The sequence below is a fragment of the Homo sapiens genome, chromosome 9 (assembly GCF_000001405.40).
Source record: "Homo sapiens chromosome 9, GRCh38.p14 Primary Assembly".
Taxonomy (NCBI): Eukaryota; Metazoa; Chordata; class Mammalia; order Primates; family Hominidae; genus Homo; species Homo sapiens.
Genome location: NC_000009.12, coordinates 127,299,356 through 127,320,235, shown reverse-complemented (window position 1 = coordinate 127,320,235; position 20,880 = coordinate 127,299,356). Strand labels below are relative to the sequence as shown.

General features: G+C 41.6%; 1 protein-coding gene and 1 pseudogene across 17 annotated transcripts in view; one reads left to right on the top strand and one right to left on the bottom strand.

Annotated features, from left to right (window-relative positions):
* The window catches only part of GARNL3 (GTPase activating Rap/RanGAP domain like 3), a 169,048-nt gene that overhangs the window by 73,425 nt on the left and 74,743 nt on the right, over positions 1-20,880 (bottom strand). For all 17 annotated transcript variants that reach the window (NR_104591.2, XM_047423963.1, XM_011519086.4 and 14 more), the window contains 3 exons: positions 8,501-8,600; positions 6,677-6,795; positions 2,109-2,173 (listed from right to left, as the gene is read on the bottom strand). Coding sequence is in view for 11 of the 17 variants with exons in the window: in XM_047423963.1 (XP_047279919.1) it covers positions 2,109-2,173; positions 6,677-6,795; positions 8,501-8,600 (284 nt within the window). In the remaining 6 variants the exon portion in view is untranslated. The remainder of the gene's footprint in view (positions 1-2,108; positions 2,174-6,676; positions 6,796-8,500; positions 8,601-20,880) is intronic.
* On the top strand, positions 19,198-20,232 carry DENRP4 (DENR pseudogene 4; annotated as a pseudogene).

The following is a 20,880-nucleotide window of genomic DNA, read 5'->3' as shown; positions in this document are numbered from 1 at the left end:
TGAAAGTTAAAAATAATAACGAACTTCTAGACTACTTACAATACACCAGACACTGTAATAAATGCTTTTCATGAATTTTCTCATTTAGTCCTTATGAGGCAAGTACTATTTTAGCCCCAGGAAATTGAAGCTCAGAAGTTAAATAACAGGAAAAAGATCTGGTAAAAAGCAGAGCCAGGACTTGAATCTAGGCTTATGTGACTCTGTAGTATTTATATTTTAATTTCCTTTTAAGTTTTCAAGTTCATTCTTGTAACAAAAGAAGATAAAATCTTTTCTCTGCTGGCAGCAACTGTAGAATGTGTAGTTTGTCATATCTTTAAAATCTTGCTGTACCTTGCTCCAGCTATGAGGGTATACTGAAAAGCTAAGACTTGCTCATAAACTAAATGAAATTATAACAAATGAAATGCCTAGTTTTTAAACGTTCTTAAAGAAGAAAGGAGCTAGAGTAAACTTCTTTTTAGAAAAAAGAATTCACAGAAATCTTAAACCAGTATAATTTAAGGTATTACTCTCCAAGCAAATTAAGATTTATAGTTCCTTGAAAGCAGCAGGATATTTCTGTGCTCAGCAAAAATGTTAGCCTCTTGGTGGAGAGGCTTAACTCAGGCTTTAGAACTGCTCAGAAGAAAAATCAGAAGATACAGAGCAGACAGGAAAAGGTCTGCAATCTGGAGACCAAACTAAGCTTGAAAGTGGGATATAACATTTTTCACTTCTTAATCTTGGTTCCTTTTTTTTTTATTTTTTTGAGACACAGTCTCACTCTGTCACCCAGGTTAGAGTGCAATAGCATGGTCTCAGCTCACTGCACCCTCCACCTCCCAGGTTCAAGCAATTCTCCCACCTCAGCCTCCCGAGTAGCTGAGACTACAGGTGTGTGCCACCACACCTGGCTAATTTTTGTATTTTAGTAGAGACGGGGTTTCACTATATTGGCCAGGCTGGTCTCGAACTCCTGACCTCATGATCTGCCTGACTTGGCCTCCCAAAGTGCTGAGATTACAGGCGTGCACCATTGCGCCCGGCCTTGGTGCCTTTCAGTCAGCCAGATGCAGTCCCCAACAGATAGAGTCAAGTTTGTCACTGTAAGAGCCATTTTGGTAAGGATGAGTTGTAGCTATTAGGTGTCACCTGGGAACACTGGAAACACATCTACCACCATGTAGCTGCAGACGAATAGAGAGGAAATCACTAGGGCTCTGAGATAAGCTTTGCCCTTCATACGATAGGGCATTAGTGGTTAAACAGCCCAAGCTCTGGAGTCACATGGACTCCAGCTCCGTGATTTACCAGCTGTGAGATCTTTGTCAGATCCCTTCACTTCTCTGAGGCTCCAATTCCTGATAAGTGGAGTGGAGATAATAATAGATCTACTTCATGGAGCTAAAGATTGACTCAGAGAACACTCATAAAGCATTCAGCACAGTGCCTGACAAACAGAAGCTACCATAGCTATGATGTAACATCTTAGCTGGTAACAAAGCAACAGGCTGGATCCAAGTGGCGGCATTCCCTAGGGGAGGCTGCCACCTAAGCATGGGAGAGAGATGAGAGGGAGGTGGGAGGGTGGGGGCACGAGAGGTGGCTGAGCAGGAAGCAGCCAGATGTTCCATCCATTTAACGTTCTGTCTGGCGAAGAATAAGTACATTCTTTGCTGACATCTGGGTTTCTATTTCAAGGTAGAAAAATGGAAGGAAAAATATTTCTTGATTATCTTTATAAAACTAAAGTATCTGAGTGCATGCAAGAAAAAAGAAGCTGGCAACTAATGCAGTAAGGAGAGATGCCTAAGAGCAATGCTCAAAATCAGTTGGACCTGGACTCAGGCCTTGGTTCCACTACACACTTGCTATATGATCTTGGCTTTCTCTCTCTGAACCTCCATTTCATCTATAAAATGGCACAGTCACAGCACCTGCCCTACAGGGTTGCTGTGATGATGACACGAGGTGATGCACGTCATGTCAAGTGCTTAGCAAAACATCTTACACACAGTCAAGGCTCAAGACAATGGAAAGGTAACATCAGAATGATCACAGGCAAAAACAGTGTATAAAGGGCTCCAAATCCATGTGTGGGGTTTCTACCCATTAGAACTCACCTTAAGATGGACTTCACAGAAAGAGTTTTTGTGGGACTGTAGGGAAGGCATATTTTCTGGGTACCCTGGAAAAGTCCAAACATCAAATCAGTGACAAGTTCTACAACTTCCTTCTCCAAAAGAGCCTCTCGGGTCATTCAAAAGAAAGCCATGCCCAGTCTTTCTTCTTTCTCCTCAAGGGGAATGTATATGAATAAACACATTCTATGACTGAAAACAATCTTGCTCAGGTTTGATAGCAACTTCCAGGATCTCTCCACCCCAACATGTGTGGATTTCAGCATGGCCTTCAACATACAGGTCTTCAGTGTCTTAGGTATTATGGAGAGCACTTGAGCCATCTGAACCAGATGAGAAGGGAATTTGTTTTTTCGTTGTTGTTGTTGTTGTTGTTTTGTTTTGTTTTGTTTTTGAGACAGAGTCTGGCTCTGTTGCTTAGGCTGGAGCGCAGTGGTGTGATCTCGGCTCATGCAACCTCTGCCTCCTGGGTTCAAGCGATTCTCCTGCCTCAGCCTCCCGAGTAGCTGGGATTACAGGCATGCACCACCATGCCTGGCTAATTTTTAGTAGAGATGGGGTTTTGCCATGTTGGCCAGGCTGGTCTCAAACTCCTGACCTCAAGTGATCTGCCTGTCTCAGCCTCCCAAAGTGCTGGGATTACAGGCATGAGCCACCACGCCCGGCTGGGAATTTGGTCTCTGAGCCAAGCATCAAATAAGCCTCAAAGACCATAAGACAACAGTCTCCACATGTTCAATGGGACCCAAAAATAATGTCTCCCAGTCAAAAACTTTTTGAACTAGAAATCCCCTGAATCTTTCAGAGACATTTTCATAATGCACACTTTTACATTTATCTGTGTTTTCTTATTTAAAGTCTCCTTTCTCCTAAATGAGTACCAACTGTGACTCATTATAGGAATACTCAATGAATATATTTTGACTAAAAAGGAAATGAAGAATTGCCTAAGTGATTCAGTCTCCCGTCCACACCACCCAGGAACAGATGAGTGCTATTCTCTTCCTAATCGTCTAAGAAGAGGTGACATAGATTTAGGATCCACAAAGGTTCACACTACACAGTTAGCAAAAGGGATTATCATATACCACACATTTAAAACTTTCTTCCTGACTTTGATTAGTAATAAAATTGTCATCACAAACGGCTAGAGGAGGGTAAGAACATTTCTTTTAGGGAATGGGCAAAGAAATATGATTTTTCTTGTGCTATTGGGACACATCTGCCAATTCATCTGTCCAAGCTCTGAACAATGGCAAGGGAGAGGAGTTCTTTGAGCTTTCCAAGCCCATGGTCTCGTTGCATAAACAAAACTTTCATAACTACATCCTTGGAGACCTGCTACTCTCACCCCTCTCCAGCCCAGGGAGGAGGATGTCTTTGGAGCTGAGGATGAGAAGTTGCACTAGAGAGAGCCCTTCTTATGGGTTCTCCATTAGCCAAGGAAACTGGGCTGAGCTTTTCTTTTTGTAGTTTGTGCTACAGAGATTAAATTTTTTTCCAATTATAGATGAATATTACGATAGAAATACACGTTTTCTGATTCTACAGGTCCTTCCCATTGAAACCCGAGTTCTTCTGTGGCTTTGCTTTTTAACTGGCTCCAGCCTACACTGCATTCCCTGTCTAAGAGATGGTCTTGAATCTGCCCCTCTAGCTTAGATCCTACCTTGACTACCTTTTCTTCTTACCCAACACTCCAAAGGCAGTTTTATTTTTATTTTTTTTTTGTAGCAGGCAGGGTCTCACTATGTTGCCCAGGCTGGTCTCAAACTCCTGGTCCCATGCAATCCTTCTGCCTTGACCTCCCAAAGTGCTGGGATTACAGGCATGAGCCACCCTGCCCAGCCCAAAGGCAGTTTTAAAGAGAAGCCAAGGGCAGCTCGGGGGAATGTGTGGCACAGCAGAGGGCTCCAGTGCTGCACTGGGTGACAGTGACACCTTCATGAGCTGCCTATGTGGGTGCGAAACTCAGGGCTCCTGGGATTGTGGATTTGTGTTTTTCTTCACCACAAACTGGTAAAGCTCTTCCTCATCTCCTCCCTTTTGTAGCTTCCAGAGTCAATGTTTAAGTAAAATGGTTCTGTGTTCAGGGGAAGCATCAAATGCACAGGTAGAGTCAAGTGCATGTATGTATCAGGCTACACCCAGTGAGCACAGCAAGGATGCAGAAGTGCACATCGAAGATTACCCTGTGTAACAGGTGTGTGTGTGCAGGTGTGTGTCTACAGGGACGGATGTCTAGAAGCCTGTTGCAGTGATTATCTCTGAGTAGTTGGATTCTTTTCACTTGCTGTATTGTTTGGATATAATTTTCAAAATAAGTACAAATCATTTTTCATATTTTATTTGTGTGAGCCATTTCTGTGTATTTAGAAGAAACACAGTAGAGATATGCAAGACTGTGTAGAGTAGAGTTATATGTTTAGCTAGTTTTTTTTTTTTTATCTTTCTTACTTTGATTTTGTAGAGACAGGGTCTTGCTCTGTTGCTCAGGCTGGAGTGCAGTGGTACAATCATAGCTCACTGCAGCCTTGAACTCCTGGACTCAAGCCATCCTCCTGCCTTACCCTCCCAAAGAGCTGGGATTACAGGTGTAAGCCACCATGCATGGCTAAGTTTTTATTTTATTTTTCATAGAGACAAGGTTTCGCTATGTTGCCCAGGCTGGTCTTGAACTCCTGCGCTCAAGTGCTCCTCCCACCTCGACCTCCCAAAATGTTGGGATTACAGGCATGAGCCACTGTGCTGGGCCTAGCTAGTTTTCTAACTGCTTTATAACCTAGAAGATGTGTGCTGGCAGTTGGGAGAGCGAGGGTTGAATCACATATTTCTGTGGACTTCCCATAGCCTCTAGCACTAGTTTCAGGCCAAGAGGGGCTTAATAACTGACCCCTTGTGCCAATGCTCAGTTTTGATTTCTCAGTTCCTCCCTCCCTTCAGCACTTCCATCAACAGCTGAGAACCCTCTCATTGTCCTTGGCACATAACTGAAGGCCAAGGGAAGAGGTGTTGGGTGAAGGCACTGGCACTTCTCATCATGCCCTGCCCCTATGCTGCCTTCACAGCAGTCCTGGGATTTAAATTCCACCTCCTTGGCTTCTCTAATACCAGGTATGAGTAACCCTTGTTTGTCTCACATTTGTTGCTCCTTCTACCTGGAACACTCTCTGATTCCCCTTCTACTCGTCAAATGACTGGCTCCCTTCCATCTTCAGGCCTCTGTTTCCTGGGCGCCGCCTCAGGAGGCTTTCCCTAAACTGTCTCATCTAAGTGGGGCTCCTGTAGCATGCTCTGTCATTCTCTGTCTTCAGAGTGCTTATCACAACTTATAATGTCATATAGACAGTATCTTTGGAAATTAAAATAAGCAAATGTTCCCCCTGCATTTGTCCCACTCTGTCTCTCCTCATACATGGCAGCCATCTCAGTGAGGATGTGATTGCTACTTCCTGGAGGAAGAAGATATGGACATTGAGAAAGTCCATTCCAGAAAAGTAGAAGAAGGGGGAAACCCACCCTCTCCTGCCTTGGAGGGAGGGAGGGAGGGGGAGGGTGAAGGAGGGGGAGGGAGGGAGGAAGGAAGGGGTGAAGGAAGAAAGGCCAGCCAAGAGGTGGATGCCAGGGCTCTTGATGCCCCCATGCCAAGGACAGGCTTTGAAGGCATTGTGGGATGCTGTAAATCTGTCAAGGGAAGACCTGGAGGCACCTCAGAGCATTTGAACCAGAGGCCCCTTCCCGGGCATGGCCTTGCACGGGAATCTTAAGTCCAGGCAGCACCTGGTTTGAACTTGGAGAAGGGTAGCAACTCAGTGGCTGCAAATGTTAATGACCAGAAGTATGACACACACAGGCCTATGGCAATGGTCCTGCCTCCTCACATCTGACCTATAGCTCATAGCGGATGTGCCCCAGGAAGGGATGGAGAGCTTCTAAGAGATTCAGAGACTAGCGGAGACCTGGGATCAGGACAAGGAGTGACTTTACAACAAAAGGCAAATAGCTGGCACTGTGGGTTTCAGGGGCAAATGCTTTCCAATGACCCAAAAGAGCCAGAGGAATCAACTATACTTCCGTGGTCACGAGTTCAGAGGTTGGATCAGTCACTCCACAACGGAAGTCAGACAGAGGGCCCATGTGGATCCACAGTTCTCTTCTGTGACCATTAGGTCTCATAAGCCCTCTCCCCATGTGCACAAATACCAACCACAAGAGGAGCAGGAGGAGGCAAAAAAATTGTAAAGGCTTGATTCTTTGCCCAAAAGAGACAAAGTCATCCCAAAGAAAATATTTAAACCAGAAGAGACTAGAATGCGGTAATTAGCAAACATAAAATAAATAAGTTTTTTTTTTTCAAAAGGCCAGAAAACAGTCTCCTGGTGCAGAAAATAAGGTGCTTTGGGCAAAGGCACTGTCAACTTCTCAGAGGTGAATCACGAGAAGACTATGAGGCATGCCCTGGAAGAAACTGGCACACAGTTCCACAGCACAGGGGTTATCTCCTGAAACTGATGCATAAATTTTGCTTCAAGTGTGAGCCATATACTTACTGTTTTTCTCCAAAGAATTGCACGGTATTGAGGGACACGTTGATTGTTTTGGTCAGAAAGGGTCACGGACAAGAAGAAAGGGCTCTTCTCGGCATCGTTTCCAATGTAGTTCTGATGGACTGGAAAAGAAAGGTTTAGAACAGTGAGAATGCAACTGATCCTGCCAGCCACAGATGGTAGAGGACACTGCAGGTGGTGTCCAGCCCTTCCCACATGCTCAGGGAACAATAATCCCAAAGCCAGCTTGGGATGGACCCTGATCTCTCTCGGGGGATCATGTATTCCTCTGCCCCTTGCTAGTGACTGGTTCAGGAATGAACATGTGACCAAATTCTGGCCAATGAGACTGGAGAAATCTGCCAAGGGGCTTCTAGAGAGGCTTCCTCACTCCTAAATACCGTCTTCTTCTTCCTCTGGACCTGGTGGAGTCTAGAAGTGATGCCTGGAATTCCTGAATCCATCTTGTGACCCTGAACAGGGCCAGCCCAAGGGCCAAGCTGCCACACTAAGGATGGGGAAGCAGAAAAACGGAAAAGGCCTGGGTCCTTGACATTACTGGGCCTCTGAATCCCCCAAGCCTGGGGCTTGCCCTGCCTCTGGGTTTTTTGTTATATCCTTTACTGTTTGTGCCAGTTTGAGTCAGGTTTTCTGTTACTGCACCTGAAGGCATCCAAACTCATGGCGCCATTTTTCTCTAAAGTCCTCACTGCTCTGAGCACTACTTGCAAGCGTTTGGGAAGATGACGGTTTTCCTGCTGATTTCCTTTTTTAAAATAACTGCTTCTGTATCCCCCACACACCAATAAACTTTGCCTGGCCAAATAAAGGAACTTCTTACAATAATACACAGTCAGGTTTCTTTAAAGGCATCATTTAGGTCTGCTCACTCTCATTTCATCATTCAAGCATCATATCTACAAATGAATACATTAGCCTGAGAAGCAATTTCTCTAACTCATTTTGAATCTCAAAATAGTGATTATTCTTCCATTCTCCAAATCTTTTGTCATTAACCACACTCCTGTTTTCCACCTTTCTGTATATTTTCACTTGAGCCCTTCACTTTAAATGTACATAGCTATTAATGACTGAGCTGTTGGTATGTGCCAGGCACTGGGCTTAGTATTATTCCTGCATATCTCATTGAAACTTCCATTCAAACCTACTAGATATGCACTCGTAATATCTCCACTTTACAGAAAGGAAAACTGCGTCTCAGAGAAATGGAGAGTAGCTAGTGTAAGGTCCTTTGATTAATAATGGCAGGATCAGGATCCAAACCCATATCATGAGTGTCTTTGCCCCTGTATCCCCATTGCTCTGCACATTGCCTGGCATGTAGTAGGTGATAAATACTTGTCATGGTTGAATGTATGAATGATGCCAGAGTCTACAGTCTAATGTCTCTCTAGTTCTATACAGGCCCTGGAGCTCAGGGAACCAATTATTTCCCTCATTGCCTTGAACTAAGTATTCAAAACCCAATATAGACAGGGCAATTGCCTTGTTAGGTCTAAAGTTGTTTTTCCACCCTGGAAAATTCGTCTTATCTCTCAAATCACTTTTTCAGATGATCTAATCTTTAGCTCTCCAGGGATAAAAATGACTGTCCATAAAAAAAGGAAACTATGAGCAAAAACTCTTAGGGCTGAGACTCTGAATCTTTTAGCCTACAAAGCTTACTACTGACCTTGAAGTGAAATGCCCTGATGTTAGTGTTCCTAAAATGGCTAGTTTCACTCATATAGGATACCAGAAGTTATATGAACACTAACTTCCATTTTGAATACCCTTTCTTCCCTACCACCACAATAGCATAATTACCTTGTCCTAAAAAATATTTGAAATACCATCTGGTGTGGTATTCTGGGTTCTCTAAGTGCACGTCTGTTCTTCGCCAAGTACCAGGCAGGGCAGTTGCATTCTGTAATGGAACAAAGTTGTGACATTAAGAGGCTTATTCAGAAAGTAAACATGAACCTGGCAATGAACCAGCGGCCAAAGAACCAGAAAAATCATTGTTAAAAGCATACACCCAAGGGCTGTGGCTGCATGTTCTCATTAGAAAAGACACCCAGTCTAAATTCACATCGTGGAAGCATCCAGGAGGCCTTTGGGGTGTAGGAAAAATAACCAGTGAACCGGTGAGTTCAGCTATTCCTAAAATGGGTACCAAGTACCTCTCCTTTCTGGGCTGAAACTTCCACAGTATTTGGGAGTTGGTGCCCCCTAGAGGAACCCCCTTCTTTTTGTTACCCCTGTAACAGGCACAATTCATCTAGAATTAATCCATGTTTTGGTAGGTTTTTTCTGTTTTTTTTTTTCCCCATGCATATACATACGTATTTTTCTTAATAAGATGAAATTATATTGAATATACAGTTTTGTGGCTTGCTTTGCCAATAACTATTTTACATGTCAATAAATATAATCCTGTGTTATTGGCTCTATACTCTTTTATTATATAGATACAACTAATAATACTGGACAATTAGGCTGCTTCCAATTTTTGTTATTGTAAATAAAATTTATCATCTTCTAATTCCACGTTTGCATACTTACTTATTCAATTATTTCTTTAGGATAATTCTTAGAAGTTAAATTTCTTTGTCAAAGGGTATGCATGTTGTCGAGGATCTGCAACACAATGCCAATCTGACATCTAGGAGGACTGATACAAAATTATAGTTCCACCAGCAATGGCTGAGGGTACCATCTTCCCTATACTGTCAACATTGCCTCCTTACAATTTAATGGCAAAATGTATTTTTTTTTTTTTTTTTTTTGAGACAGAGTCTTACTCTGTTGCACAGGCTGGAGTGCAGTGGTGCCATCTTGGCTCACTGCAACCTCCACCTCCTGGGCTCAAGTGATTTGCCTGTCTCAGCCTCCTGAGTAGCAGGGATCACAGGCACATGCCCCCTTGCCCGGCTAATTTTTGTATTTTTAGTAGAGATGCGGTTTACCATGTTGGCCAGGCTGGTCTCGAACTCCTGGCCTCAAGTGATTATTGGTCTCCCAAAGTGCTGGGATTACAGGTGTGAGCCACTACGCCTGGCCTGTATAACATTTAGATTGAAGCTTTTCTTCATATTTTTATTGGTCATTTACAATTATTTTTTGGGTTACCTGTTTATGTCCTTTGCCAGTTTTCTGATTATTGTATTCTTTTGTGAAATCTTTGAAATAGATTGCAAATAATTTCTTCTGATCAAATTTTTGCTTTTAAACTTGTTCTATGGTATTTTTGGCCACATAGATGTTTCAAAATGTTTACATAAGCAAATTTTTCATTTTTTTCCCTTTATGGCTTTTGCTTAATTACTATAAAAAATTCCCCCATCCCAGCATTAACGAAACTGTTTACCTCTATATTCTTTTAGATGCTTCATTTTTATAGTTCATTCCTTATCATTTATTTTGATGTATGCTCTGAAGGATCAATTTTCCCCAAATCATTTATCAATTAACTCAGTTCTACTTATTGAACACTCTATCATTCTCAATCCTTATAAGGCATTAAATTACTGTTTACAGTAAATGTCTGAATCTTGCATGGTCTGGGCTGAGACTGTGTTAGATGTCAGTTTTCCCGCATGACTGATGTCACTCTATTGCAGCTTTGTTGATATCTCCATCGTGCCACGTATGTAAGACAGACTACTGGAACATACTCTCTGACTTTGACATGCCTCTAGCGATTTACTAGATGTCTGTGGTCAGTTTCTTTATCATGCTAAAGATGTTTCCTTCAATTGGAAGTTTACAAAGAGGCTTTTCTCAGGAATGAAAATTAAATTTACCAAAAGCTTTTTTTGGGGGGCAACTGTTGAGAGAACAGGTTAAATGGGGGGAATCACAGTATGTAATGTAATGAATGAATAATGAATATAGTAATAGCTCTTCTGGCATTGAAAGGTTCTTACATTTCTGGAATCCACCCTACTAGGTCATGGTATAGTATTCTTTTAATATACTGCTTGACTTTAACAAATGATTTATGTATCATATTTGTGTGATAGATCTATAGGCTTCCTTTCTATTTGTATTTCTGTCATGCTTTCAGGGTTATGTTACCTTATAAAATGAAACGGGAAGCTCTCTGTCCTTGTCATTGCTCTGGAAATACTGACATGCATTGAGAGAGTGCTAAATGCCAAGTATTAGGCTAAGCATTTTATATGCATTATCTCCAGAACCACCCATCAACCTTATGAGATAGATTCTATTTTATCCCCCTACTTTCAGATGAGGAAATTGAGACTGAGAGAGTTTAAACATGTTGCCCAAGGCTACAGAGATAATAAGTAGTGGAGCTGGAACTGAAACCAGTTCCAATTCCAGAGGTTTCTTCTTTTTTCTTTTTTTATCTTAACCATTACATCATCTTCTGTGTCCTTTTTTATGTCCTGCCTTTTAAGCCTATTAAGGAGTAAAAACGTAGGTGAAAATTTTAGTATTATTTTGCTTTTATCAGATTTTCTGGAATTTTAAAAAACTAGCTATTGCTACATACATATGAATTTTTATTTGGAAATAATTTTAAATTTATATAAAAGCTGCAAGAATAAGAGCAGTGTAAAAAAGCATGTTTACCTTTTACTTACCAGATTTACCTACTGTTAATGTTTTACCCCACTGGCTCATTTGTTCACAACCCCCAACACACACACAAACATACACACATATACAATATTTTTTCTGAACCATTTAAGACTCAGATGTAAAATAATAGGCTTCATCCCTAAATACTTCAGTGTGTATTTCGCAAGAGTAGGGCTATGTTCTTACGTAACCACAGTAGAGCTTTATCAACTTTTCTAAGTCTAACATTGATGCCATCTGTATTCTAATGTTGTCAGTTGAGTCAACAATGTCATTTTAAGCATTTTCTCTCTTCAGTACAGGATCATTTCATTGTGTTTCTTTAGACTCCCTTCATCTGCAACATTTCCACTGACTCTTTGTCTTTATGACATTGACATTTTTTGACTGTCACTATTTTTTTTTTTGTTTCCATTTTGTATTTTAGGTTGAAGGGGTACATGTGCAGGCTTGTTACATGGGCAAATTGTGTGTTGCAGGGGTTTGGTAAACAGATAACTTTGTCACTCAGGTAATCAGCATAATACCCAATAGGTAATTTTTCATTCCTTACCTTCCACCCCCAAGTAGGCCCCAGTGTCTATAGTTCCCTTCTTTGTGTCTGATTTTGACATTTTTGAAGAATGCAGCATCTTCCCTCCTCATTTTGGGTTTGTCTGATATTTCCCCAGTTAGATTCAGGGTATGCAGACTTGGCTGGAATACCATGTAAGTGAGGTTTGTCCTCAGCTTATCATATTTCAAAATACCCATCTGTTCCTCAGTGGTGATGTTAATTTTGATTACCTATTCAAGATATTACCTCTTAGTTTTTACCTTTTGGTGAAAGCATATCATTGGATTTTGTTCCTTGTAGGACTTTCGCATGATTCATTATCAACAGTTATTTACTTTATAACCATGAACTACTGGCAGTACTCCTGGTCTCCAGGTCTTTCCACTATGACACTGCAGGGCATGCAGCGATGGCATGACCCACCAGCCAGCCTCAGGCATCAGCTGACCAGACATAGGGGGAGTCCAGCCAAGGAAGCTGGCCTCAGCCAGACTCCACAGTGGTTGGTGTCATGGTCCCAAGGCCTTGGATCCTACAAAGCTAGAGCAGAGCCTAGAGAGTAAACTTTTTATCTTTTTATTTTTTTATTTTTTAGTATTTCTAAAACTTTTATTTACTTGACACATTAAAAAAAACTTGTTAGCCCTATTAGAAAACAAAGGTTAAACAAAAATCACCTGAATTTTCAAATTAACATTTTCGTGTATTGTTCCACAATTTTTCATTTGCATATACAGAGATCACAATAGGCATACTATTTGGTATCACATTTTCCCACTATGACTATTAATAAATATGTATTTACATCATAACAACTCCATGTATTCACTGCATAATTGCACATTATTGTGCTTGATCAGTTGCCTATCACAGTTATTTTTCTTTGTTCTACTAAAAGCAACACTGTCATGAACGTCTTTCTCTCTCGCCTAGAGAGTAAACTCCTAAGCTGTCATCAGGACGTTTAAACTTCTGGGGCCTCCAAGAGATGCGTGGATGGCACAGACAAGCTTCTTTCAGGTAGCAGCAACAGATCTTAGTTCTGTGCTTCTCAAATTTGTTAAAATGTGCACTCTTGGGCCCATCGTAAACTTCTTCCTTAAGATCTCTATGAGTGGGGAACCAGCAACTGTTTTACAAGTGGTTCTGATGAAAACTGAACTTTGAGAAACAATGCTCTATGCCAGTTCTAAAAGAATTCAGCACAGAGAGCGGGGCATAAACTTGGATGGGGCAAAACAAATATAACTTTATTTTCCCTAAGTTCTAACTAAAATTTAGTGTTTCATTCAGTTATGAATATATGCAAAAAAACTATAGAATGGACAGTTCTGGTAACCATGCCGACAAAAAAAAAATCAAAGATATTTTCAGAATTCATTATAGTGATTGCTGATATCTTAAAATACTGTTTACACTCTTCACTTTTCAAAATTACAGTATTTATGAGGCCTGCTGCTAGATTCATTATTTAATGTATTATAATTAATTAATTAATGTATTTATTTTTTGTTGAGACGGAGTCTTGCTCTGTTGCCCATGCTGGAGTGCAGCGGCGTGATCTTGGCTCACTGCAACCTGTTTCTGAGGTTCAAACAATTCTACTACCTCAGCCTCCCGAGTAGATAGGATTACAGGTGTGTGCCACCACACCAGCTTTTTTTTTTTTTTTGAGACAGAATTTCCCTCTGTCATCCAGGCTGGAGTAGAGTGGCGCGATCTAGACTCACTGAAAGCTCCACCTCCCGGGTTCACGCCATTCTCCTGCCTCAGCCTCCTGAGTAGCTGGGACTACAGGCGCCTGCCACCACGCCCGGCTAATTTTTTGTATTTTTAGTAGAGACGGGGTTTCACCGTGTTAGCCAGGATGGTCTTGATCTCCTGACCTCGTGATCCGCCCGCCTCGGCCTCCCAAAGTGTTGGGATTACAGGCGTGAGCCACCGCGCCCGGCCACACTTGACTGCATTTTGTATTTTTAGTACAGACGGGGTTTCGTCACGTTGGCCAGGCTGGTCTCGAACTCCTGACCTCGAGTCATCCACACACCTCAGCCTCCCAAAGTGCTGGGATTACAGGCGTGAGCCACTACATCTGGCCTATTTAATGTATTTTAAAATCATATATATTACTGTATCATAAATTAGGTTTCAAAAATCATGTTGATAATTATTTCAATACAACTGTTTTCCTTCGTAATCCTAGTATTTAATTTCATGTATTTAAAAACATTATTCTGAGAAGGGGTCTAGGGGTTTTAGCAGATTTCCAAGGGGATTCAAAGGCATGGAAAATGACCTGCATGCCCTAGGCTTCTGAAGCACTTGCAACTGTCTGCCTCCCAGAGATTTGAACACTGCCAAGTGTAGAATGGAACACCACAGGGAGGCGCAAGGTGCTGCTCAGCATCGCAGAGGGAGAGATGGGACTCCAGAGGCACTGGCATGCTGAATACCAACTGTCAATATGAGGAGTTTTCTTTAATGATTAAAAAATTACTGGGCTGGGCATAGTGGTTCATGCCTATAATCCCAGCATTTTGAGAGGCCGAGTTGGGAGGATTATTTGAGGCCAGGAGTTCAAGACTAGCCTGGGTAACATAGTTAGATCCTGTCTTTACAAGAAATAAATAAATAAATAAATAAAATTAAAAAATAAAAAGTAGCCAGGTATGGTAGTGTGTGCCTGTAGTCCCAGCTACTTGGAAGGCTGAGGTGGGAGGATCACTTGAACCCAGAAGGCTGAGGCTGCAGTGAGCCATGATAGTGATACTGCACTCCAGCCTGGGCAACAGAGCAAGACCCTGTTTCTTAAGAAAAAAAATTAAAAATTAAAAAAAATTAAAATAAAAGTTACCTATTTCACTTTCCTCTTCACTGAATACTTAACCAAAACACAGGGGAAATAACCCAACTCCAAAAATGTTGTGAGTCTTACAGAGCAAGACACTTCCCATCCCTTGCTAAAACCACATTTGATGAGGTGTAAAGACAAAAATACATGCAGGAACTGACAAAAGCAATGGAGACTAGGCAACAAAAAACAACAACAAAAAAAATCCCACTTTTCCCAGGACCCTGAAGAAGAACTCTGAACACAAGCTCCAGGTTCCGATGATGTGTAGTACTAGTGGACAGTAAAGGGCACAAAGAAGTGTACAGCCAAATAATTTTTTTTTACATTTATACACCCTCATAACCATTACCTAGATCAATATAGAAAATATTTTCAGTATTCCAGAAGGCTCCCTTGTTCATTTCCCCAGTCATTACTCAACCACATGCCAAAAGAGAACCACTGTCCTAACTTCTATCACCATGGATTCGTTTTACCTGCTCTTGAGCGTTACGAAAATGAAATCATATGATGTGTATTTGAGTCAGGCGTTTATCCTTTGTCATTCGGTCTGCAACATTCACCTGTGTTACTGGTGTGGCAGTGGTTCACTCTTTCTCATGGCCATGTAGTAGTCCACTGGAAGAATACCACAATTTACGCATTCATTCTTCTATTGATGGACATTTGGATTGTTTCTGGTTTTTGGCTATTAAGAATAAAGCCACTGGCCGGGCTTGGTGGCTCACGCTTGTAATCCTAGCACTTTGGGAAGCCGAGGTGGGTGGATCACCTGAGGTCAGGAGTTCGAGACCAGTCTGGCCAACAAAGCTAAACCCTGTCTCTACAAAAAATACAAAAAATTAGCCAGGTGTGGTGGCGCATGCCTGTAGTCCCAGCTACTCGGGAGGCTGAGGCACAAGAATCACTAGAATCCAAGAGACGGAGGTTGCAGTGAGCTGAGATCACACCACTGCACTCCAGCCTGGGTGACAGAGTGAGACTCTGTCTCAAAAAAAAAAAAAAAAAAAAAAAGAATAAAGCCACTATGACCATTTTGAGTCTGTCTTTTGGTGGATACAAGTACTCATTTCTGTTGGGTATACATCCGGTGACACAGACGTATGTGTGTTCAGTTTTAGCAGATACTGCCAAAAAATTTTCCAAAGAGGATACACACACCAATTTAAACTCCTATTAGCAAGATATATGAGAGCTCTAGTTGTTCCATGTTCTCTGACCAAACTTTTAGCTTTTCAGTCCTTGCAGTTCTGGAGTTGGTGAAGTAGTACCTAATTGTGGTTTTAACCTACAATAAATCCTAACTAATTTAAGTGTCACCTATTTTACAAAAGATCTTGGAGATATAGAAACTCTGTCTATAGGAGTTTAAGGTGACAATGAAACAGGAACACATTATTCATTTGACATCAACTAGAAAGTTAGGAGAAAATAGGCTGATGAGTACACTTTCCAGATAACTGAAGTTTAACATTGCAAACACTCATGCTTATTTTATGCCCTTTAGGTAAACATTTGTGAAAGGCTACAACAGAGGGAAATGAACTCAAGTTGCTCCATGCTGCATTCAGGCCTGTACATGCCCACAGAGACCCAAAAGTCCTGAATCATTTCTGCATCAGATCCAAAGCCCACCAAAGCTTCTCACTGTCTTCATTATCTTCCCCCACCCCCTACTTATACTTGTGGGATGTGACGGAGGAAGACTGAATCTGGCCAGGATATTTTGAGGATAATGTAATCAAAATCCATATATGACACCCTGATTTTATTTGAATGTTCTCAAATATTTGACTTTAAGCAGGGAATCCACAAAATACAGAAACTCAGAATACAAATGGTATCCACAGTTTTAAAATAATTCCTTTGATTTTTCATAGAGTCTATTCCAGAGTGAGTTCAATACATGAATGAATGCAGTTACGCTGATTTTACTTCAGTTCCTAGGTTAAACTGCTGAGATAACATGGCAGTAGGGAAAATGGATTCTTTTAAAAAACAAACTAAAACTTTTAAAAAATTACAAATGTAAGCATGAAAGCTGATTATAAAAATGTGAAACTACACAAAGGTTAAAATCTTTTTCTTTCCCCCATCCTCCATGACCCAACCTACTTCTTTTCCCTCTAATAACCATGCTACTAGATTGGTCTGAATAATCCCAGATCTTTTTATGCATTTACAAAGATGTGTTTACTTTATACACACATACACACATATCACACATTCACATACATATATACATACAAAAATATATATACATACATAAGCCTATATATACATATACATAATTTGTTTTCATAAATGGGACAGTAGTATAGATATTACACTGAAAAATTTTTCTCTGCTAAAGAAAATATCTTGGGAATATTTATTTTTATTTTTATTTTTTTTGAGATGGAGTCTTGCTCTGTCGCCCAGGCTGGAGTACAGTGGTGCCATCTTGGCTCACTGCAAGCTCTGCCTCCCGGGTTCACGCCATTCTCCTGCCTCAGTCTCTGGAGTAGCTGGGACTACAGGCACCCACTACCACGCCTGGCTAATTTTTTCTATTTTTAGTTGAGACGGGGTTTCACCATGTTAGCCAGGATGGTCTCGATCTCCTGACCTCGTGATCCACCCACCTCGGCCTCCCAAAGTGCTGGGATTACAGGCGTGAGCCACCATGCCCAGCCCGGGAATATTTCTATGTCAATACATATAGATCTATTTTGTTCTTTTTAACAACTACATAGATTCTTCTTTTAAAAAATTCAACTCTTCAGTTGAATGAATATAAGCTTGTAAAATATGTAAACAGTATATGAGGGCATCAAGTGGAAAGTTAAGGTCCTCCAGCTCCAGCTTCTTTCCTGAGCTCCCATTTCCATTCTCCAGAAACAATTACTATTATATTCTTCTGTATCTTTTCAGAAATTTTCTCGCATCTTGACGAGCATATTTCCCATTTTTTTGTTTTTAAGAAAAATGGCATGATATTAAACAAGTCATTCTGGAACTTGCCTTTATGTCTAACATGTATCTTAAACATTTTTTGTGTAGTAGTACATATGTGTCTACCTCATTCTAATGGCCACTAACCAGTTCATTGTGTAAATGGACCATAGTTTACATGATAATTCCTCTACTGAAAGAAATTGATGCTGTTTCCAGTTTTTTTCCTATTTTAAATAATGCTACAATATACGTCCTAGCAATAGAAGGTCTTGCCAAATGGTATACACATTTTTAATTATTGCTAATTGCCTTCCCAAAAGATTGTGGTAATTTTCATATCCTCCAACAGTGTATAACAGTTCTCCCGGCCGAGCGCGGTGGCTCAAGCCTGTAATCCAAGCACTTTGGGAGGCCGAGGCGGGTGGATCATGAGGTCAGGAGATCGAGACCATCCTGGCTGACACGGGGAAACCCTGTCTCTACTAAAAATAGAAAAAACTAGCCAGGTGTGGTGGCAGGCGCCTGTAGTCCCAGCTACTCTGGAGGCTGAGGCAGGAGAATGGCGTGAACCCAGGAGGCGGAGCTTGCAGTGAGCCGAGATCACGCCACTGCACACTCCAGCCTGGGCGACAGAGCGAGACTCTGTCTCAAAAAAAAAAAAAAAAAAAAAAAAAAAAAAAAAGTCCTCCCAATGCTAAGGAAGATAGATTTGTAAAAAGCTGAAAGATTGTCCCCTCTGCTGCACCATCTACTAATTGATACATACAAGTGAGCTGTAAGGGAGGTCCCCAGTGATCCACCCAGGGGTCACACTCATTTTAATTAATAATCTGAATAAGCACACACATGGCAAGACAAGCACATCTGAAGGTAAAATAAAGCTGCTTAGTGGGTTAGCTAACAGGACAGGTGACAGAATCAAGATGTCACCAAAAAGTCTTGACAATTAGGAATTATGAGACACACTAATGAGATTAAATTCAATGTAGACAATGCAAGATCCTTCACTTAGATACAAAATACAAATTACTGAAGGACAAGCTCAGATGGTATAAGGAAGGATTTCCCCTCCCTTTTTACCCATTAGGAAATTGAGGCACAGAGACACTGAATTGTAAACTAGAGAGTGGTAGAGCTGAGGTTTGAACCCAGGTTTGTTTGACTCCAAAATAGTCTCCATTATATCATAGTGCTGCTCCACAGCTAAACACCAGCACATGTGAAAAAGATGGGGGGTGGGCAAAGTAGCATATTGTAGGTTCATAATGAGTCATTAGGGTCCATAAAAAGAGGTAGAGTGTCTACAGCAAGAAAGGGGATGAGCCTGCTCCACTCTGTGGCTGTGTGGAGCATGCCCAGAGCCCTGTGTTCGGTTCTGAGCACTTTGGTCCAAAAGGTTCAATAACAACCTCACATGTGTCCAAGGAACAGCAATAAGGATGACAATGATGGAACTGATCCTGTGTCTTAGGAGGAAAACAACAGATGTCACATTGAAGAGGGCTCAGACTTACAGTCTGGGGCTATGGAGAATATAAATAGAAACACTGAGTGGAAAATACAGATGATAGTTCCATGTGTCGCTTCAACTGGCAATAGCAGAGGGAACCACCTGGGTTTGTGAAATGGCTGCAGACATTTCTGAATCCTATGGGGCCAAGTGCAAAGGAGACCTAAGGAACAGGGCCGAGTTAGATGCTGATTACCCACTGTGAGTCCTTTATTGTGGAGTCTGTTCATTACCAACAGGCTACTGTAAATACATGCCTAATGTTGCTAAATGTAGATAATGGTTAGAGAAGAATTTTCCAAATGAATCTGCAAAACTTACTGTAGAAAATTTACCCAAATAGGGCCAGGCGCGGTGGCTCGCGCCTGTAATCCCAGCACTTTGGGAGGCCGAGGGGGACAGATCACTTGAGGTCAGGAGTTCAAGACCAGCCTGGCCAACATGGTGAAACCCTATCTCTACTAACAATACAAAAATTAGCCAAGCGTGGTGGCGCATGCCTGTAGTCCCAGCTACTCTGGAGGCTGAGGCAGGAGAATCGCTTGAACCTGGGAGGTGGAGGTTGCAGTGAGCCAAGATCCCACCACTGCACTCCAGCCTACGTCTCAAAAAACAACAAAAAAAAGAAAATTCACCCAAACAAGAAGCTGGAATTAATGAGGGTCAAGGAACAGCAGGGGCAGAAGAGAAGAATAAAATACAAAAGAGAGGTGAAAGGGGTCAAATAAAACAAAGAAAAGAAGGCCATACCAGAAAAGGTTACACAGCCAAAATTCCCACAACAGAGAAGAAACATGTAACATGAATGTGTGGCCTCTAACTTTTGAAATTGATCTTAAAAAAGCACAAAGATTTTTTGCTCAAAAATTGTGTGGTGCCTCAGTAACAGAAGAGGAAGAAATTATCATTCAGGAAGACTTTACAGATGACATAATTGATGTTATTCAGGAAAACTGGCCAGAGGTAAATGATGACAGCACTGAAGATCTTGGAGAAGTAAAGAAGTGATTTTGAAAATCTGTCTGTTTTTAATGACCTGAGCTTAATCTCGATATGGCCAAAGGGAGACAGGCCTTTAAAAAAAATGTATATATGGCCGGACATGGTGGCTCATGCCTGTAATCCCAGCACTTTGGGAGGCCGATGCAGGTGGATCACCTGAGGTCAGGAGTTCAATACCAGCCTGGCCAATATGGTGAAACCCCATCTCTACTAAAAATACAAAAAAAAATTGGCTGGGCACGGTGGCTCACACCTGTAATCCCAGCACTTTGGGAGGCCGAGGTGGGCGGATCACAAGGTCAGGAGATCGAGACCATTCTGGCTATGGTGAAACCGGTCTCTACTAAGAATACAAAAATTAGCCAGGTGTGGTGGCTGGTGCCTGTAGTCCCAGCTACTTGGGAGGCTGAGGCAGGAGAATGGCATGAACCCGGGAGGCGGAGCTTGCAGTGAGCTGAGATCACGCCATTGCACTCCAGCCTGGGTGACAGAGCGAGACTCCATCTCAAAAAAAACAAAAACAAAAACAAAAACAAAAAAATTAGCCAGGCGCCTGTAATCCCAGTTACTCAGGAAGCTGAGGTGGGAGAATCGCTTGAACCTGGGAGGCAGAGTTTGCAGTGAGCCAAGATGGCACCATTGCACAAGGCTGCTTGTTTTTTTATTGCCAAAGTCAGATAAACACAGGAGACTGTCACGCTTATGCATGGAATAGAATTTAGTCAAATAAAAAATTCTGG